We start from the raw sequence: 5387 nt of genomic DNA, 5'->3' as shown, positions 1-5387 counted from the left end.
GGCTCCTCAAATGCCACCAAAGTGGGAGCCCAGGCAGGGGAGGTGCAGAGAGCAAGTGAGGGCTCTGAGGACTGCCAGCATGCTGTCACCTCTCACCGTCTCTACTAAAAAATACAAAAAATTAGCCAGGCATGGTGGCGGGCGCCTGTAGTCCCAGCTACTTGGGAGGCTGAGGCAGGAGAATGGCGTGAACCTGGGAGGCGGAACTTGCAGTGAGCCAAGATCACGCCACTGCACTCCAGCCTGGGCGACAGAGCGACTCCACCTCAAAAAAAAAAAAAAAAAATAGAACAAGCTTATCCAACCCACAGCCCATGGGCTGCCTACAGCCCAGGACAGCTTTAAATGTGGCCCAACACAAAATTCATAAACTTTCTTTAAATATTATGAGTTTTTTTTTTTAAGCTCATCAGCTATCATTAGTGTTAGTGTATTTTATGTGTGGCCCAAGACAATTCTTCTTTTTTCAATGTGGCCCAGGGAAGCCAGAAGATTGGATAACCCTGCATTAGAATAAACCAAGAAAATTTAAGATATACTGATACCTGGCACCTACTCCAGACCAATAGAACCAGAATATCTGGAATATGACCTATGAATCACAATAAGATTTGTTTTTAAAAAATACCCCAGTCATTTCAATGTACTCCCAGGGTTGACAGCCACTGCTCTATAGCTCTAGTTCTTAAACTTTAGTATTTATAAAACTTATCTGAGGAGTCAATTTAATATCACTAAGGATTACCCAAAAAACTGTAAAATGCAGGTAAGTAGAAGGACCTAGGGATCTGTATTTTAAACAAAAGCTCCCAGAGTGATTCTGAGCAGATGGATTAGGGACCACACTTGGAGAAAAGGGTCTCTATAGCACACTGTTTAAGGAAAGACACAAACACCACCCACATGTCTCACCCAGAAATCATGAGGCCCACCATCTTATCTAGGAAGTCCTAACAATATATCTGGCCTTGGAGACAATCAGGGCCTCCTACATTGTGCAATTGTGGAGGTGGCAGGAAATCTCCATTAGCCCCAAATGCCCAACAGTAAGAATTCCCAAATCCCCAACATTAGAAATACATACTTTTAGATCTTCAAAAGTCCAAAAGTCTAAAAAAATGTAAATATGCCTTGGAGTTAACTTTTTTTTTTTTCTTTAGACAGAGTCTCGCCCAGGCTGGAATGCAATGGTGCCATCTCGGCTCACTGCAACCTCCGCCTCCTGGGTTCAAGTGATTTTTCGTGCCTCAGCCTCCCAGGTAGCTGGCATTACAGGCAGACGCCACCATGCCTGGCTAATTTTTGTATTTTTGGTAGAGATGGGGTTTCACCATGTTGCCCAGGCTGGTCTTGAACTCCCGACCTAAGATGATCCACCCGCCTCGACCTCCCAAAGTACTGAGATTATAGCCATCACACCCAGCTGCCTTGGAGTTAACATTCTAATCGCTATTATCTATTATTAACAAACGCCTTAATGAGGTGCCTGTCCTGTCGGGAATGGGAACAAGAGTAATGATGCAGTTAAGAAAGGGGGAAGGGGCTGGATGGGAGGGACCAGGCACTAGAAATGACTGAAAGAGGACTTTGAGGGCACCACAGGCAAACTTCATTGCTTCACCGTCTCTTAAGGCTAACTCTGCCGAAAGGTGTTTTTGTTAATTACCTCACAATGCAGGGTGGGTTCCTCTATGGCTTACTTTCTCTCCCACGATTTTCCTCCTTCCCTGTGAAAATCAAAAGTTGCCTTGATCATGGCTAAGATACATGGATTTCGTTTTCATATACCTGAATCAAGGTTTTTAAGTGAAACATTATATGTAATTTAGGACCCATGTCTTTTACTGAAGGGCAATTTGCGACATGTATCAGAATTTTTTATTTATTTATTTTATTGATTTTTTTATTTTTTGAGACCAAGTCTCGCTCTGTTGCCCAGGCTGGAGTGCAGTGGTGCAATCACGGCTCACTGCAACCTCCGCCTCCCAGGTTCAGGCGATTCTCATGCCACAGCCTTCTGAGTAGCTGAGTAGCTGGGATTACAGGTGCCCACCACCACACCAGGCTAATTTTTGTATTTTTAGTAGAGGCGGGGTTTCACCATGTTGGCCAGGCTGGTCTTGAACTCCTGACTTCAAGTGATTCGCCCGCCTTGGCCTCCCAAAGTGCTGGGATTACAGACGTGATCCACCGCACCCGGCCTATCAGAAAATTTTTAAAACCAAATTATTTTGTTCTAACAAATCTACGTCCAGGAATTAAGGCTAAAGGAATTGTAGCAGACATGATTTTTAACAACTAATAAACTTTATTTTTTAGAGCAGTTTTAGGTTCACAGCAAAGTTGAACATAAAGTCCAGAGAGGTCCCGTATACCACTTGTTCCCCACCCTGATCCCTTCCCCCACTACTGACCTCCTATGTCAGAGGCCTTCCAACCAGAGCGACTCCATCTTGAATGGAGGCTGGATAAAATGAGGCTGAGACTTACTGAGCTACATTCCCAGGAGGTTAGGCATAATCTTAGTCACAAAATGTTTACAGTTAAGGGAACAGATTAATTATGTTTACTGAACAGACCCAGGACTTAATAGACCTAGTAAACATCCTGATGTTCCGATATCTTAAGGACAAAAACATTCTTCGTTTGAGACTGTTTCACTTTAAAGATAAATAATATAGATTCTTGCAAAAGTCAGTAGTTAAACAAAGATTAAGAATCCTGTCACGAGCCCTAGTAAAGCACACCTCCCGCATGATTTTTTTTTCTTTTTCTTAAGAACAAAAACATTCTTCATTTGAGACTAAATTTCACTTTAAAGATAATAATACAGATTCTTGCAAAAGTCAGTAGTTACACAAAGGTTAAGAATCCTTTCTCACAATCCCTAGTAGTAGAGCACACCTCCCCCATGACTTTTTTCCTTTGTTATGTATAAACATTGTACCTAAAGGGCAGTTTCTTCCTCTTGCTTTTGGGAACATCCTGTTTTTCCTATGGAGTAGTCATTCTTTTGTTTCTTTACTTCTCTAATAAACTTGCTTTCACTTTACTCTGTAGACTTGTGCCAAATTCTTTCTTGTGCACGAGGAAAGATCCAAGAACTTTCTTTTGTGGTCTGGATCTAGAACCCTTTCCCGGAACACCTGCACCACGTTGGTACATTTGTTACAATCAATGAACCTACACTGACACATCATTACCATCTAAAGTCCATAGTTTGTTTACATGAGGGTTCACAGTGTTGTACATTGTATGGGTTTTTACAAATGTATGACATGTATCCATTATTGTATAATTATACAAAATAGTTTCATTGCCCTAACAATTCTCTATGCCCTAAAAATTCATACCCCTCTCTGCTCACTGATCGTTTTCCTGTCTCCATATTTTGCCTTTTCCAGAGTGTCACACAGTTGGACTCATAACACATGTAGCCTTTTCAGATTGGATTCTTTCACTTAGTAATACGCATTTAAGGTTCCCCTGTGTCTTTTCAGGGCTTGAGAGCTCATTTCATTTTGTACTGAATAATATTCCACTTTCTGGATGTATCACAGTTTGTTTATTCATTCTCCTATTGAAGGACATCTTGGTTGCTTCCAAGTTTGGACAATTATGAATAAACTTGCTATAAGCATCCATGTGCATGTTTTGTGTGGACATAGTTTTCAATTCATTTGGATAAATATCAAGGAGCATGAATGCTGGATTGTACGGTAAGACTACATTGCCATACAATTGTACATGATAAATTTTTTGTTTAGTTTTGTGAGAAACTGCCAAACTGTTTTCTAAAATGTCTATTCCATTTTGCATTCTCACCAGCAATGAATGAGAGTTACTATTGCTTCACATCCTCAGCATCATTTGGTGTTGTCAATGTTTTAGATTTTGTCCATTCTAATAGTTGTGTAGTACTCTATTATTTTTTCATTATTATTATTTTTTGAGACGCAGTCTTGCTCTGTTGCCCAGGCTGGGGTGCAGTGGAGCGATCTTGGCTCACTGCAAGTTCTGCCTCCTCGGTTCAAGCCATTCTCCTGCCTCGGCCTCCCGAGTAGCTGGGACTACAGGTATCCACCACCACGCCCAGCTAACACAGTGAGGCGGGGTTTCACCGTGTTAGCCAGGATGATCTTGATCTCCTGACCTCGTGATCTGCCTGCCTCAGCCTCCCAAAGTGCTGGGATTACAGGTGTGAGCCACCACGCCCGGCCCGCTACAAGACTTCTTGAAATCTCCCCCTCAATTAAGCTTGGTGGTGGGTGGAGAATACACTCCCGTCCTAATCCCACAGAGAAGAGTGGAAATCTTGTCATCACCAACACTATACTCTCCAGATTGAGGAATCTGGCGACTCCTCTCACCTCCCCAAAACCTGGACTGTGCCACACACCCAGAGATCCATCCAAAACCAAAGACTGCAGCTTTAATTCCAAATGCCAGAGATGGACATTTTCAGCCTTGCTAAGGGAACGCCTTCATCTTTGAACCTTTATTGTGTTTTGTACAGGTCATTCTCTGAACTAGTTTGTTGTGGTTATAAAACAGCTAGCAAAGCAGCTTACATTTGTATTTATTTTCTGTTACATACTTCTGCCCCATATTGTTACCTCTCAAAATCCATCCCTTTAAAAAAATAAATCTGGGCCGGGTATGGTGGCTCACGCCTGTAATCCCAGCACTTTGGGAGGCCGAGGCAAGTGGATCACTTGAGGTCAGGAGTTTGAGACCAACCTGGCCAACATGGTGAAATCCCGTCTCTACTGAAAATACAAAAATTACCCAGCTGTTGTGGCAGATGCCTGTAGTCCCAGCTACTCGGGAGGCTGAGGCAGGCGAATCACTTGAACCTGGGAGGCGGAGGTTGCAGTGAGCCAAGATCGCACCACTGCACTCCAGCCTGGGCAACAGAGCCAGATTCCATCTCAAAAAAAATAAATAAAATAAAATAAATCTGTTGCAGATGTCAAACACACACACAAAAAGACCCTGAGAGCACAACAGTGGTAGGTGCTGCTTCACGCTGCCAACCTTGTAAGGGACCGTCAGGGTTACTATGCTCACCTGTGGCACTGATACCCACTGAGCCCACTGAGGGCATTTTCTACACAAAAGGGAGGGGTAAAGAGGGAGACACACATTTCCCCATCATTCTATGAGTATATAAGATGAAGCAATTGAGGCTGGGAACTTGCCCCATTTTCAAACACTAGCCTATTTCTGAAACTTTCCTTTTAGCACAACCCGGCTTCCTGTGAGGGTGAACCCACCGACCCAGGGAGAGCCTGGAAAAGCCCAGGATGATGTGACTTAATCATAGAAGAGTTTTTATATAATTGGCTCATGTTGCTATTAAACTTCAGTGTTGATGTTAAACATGT

At 42.9% G+C, this 5387-nt stretch overlaps 1 annotated feature.

Moving 5' to 3' along the window:
- Nucleotides 4159–4659: an enhancer, noted in NCBI's record as "H3K27ac hESC enhancer chr4:42263210-42263710 (GRCh37/hg19 assembly coordinates)". NCBI's record gives its function as "activates a minimal SCP1, AML or CMV promoter by ChIP-STARR-seq in primed H9 embryonic stem cells {active_cell/tissue: H9 hESC(primed)}" and the evidence as "EXISTENCE:reporter gene assay evidence [ECO:0000049][PMID:30033119]".

This window comes from Homo sapiens, chromosome 4 (genome assembly GCF_000001405.40).
Source record: "Homo sapiens chromosome 4, GRCh38.p14 Primary Assembly".
Classification (NCBI taxonomy): Eukaryota; Metazoa; Chordata; class Mammalia; order Primates; family Hominidae; genus Homo; species Homo sapiens.
The sequence above is the reverse complement of the archived record's forward strand: the minus strand, read 5'-3'. Positions and strand labels throughout refer to the sequence as shown.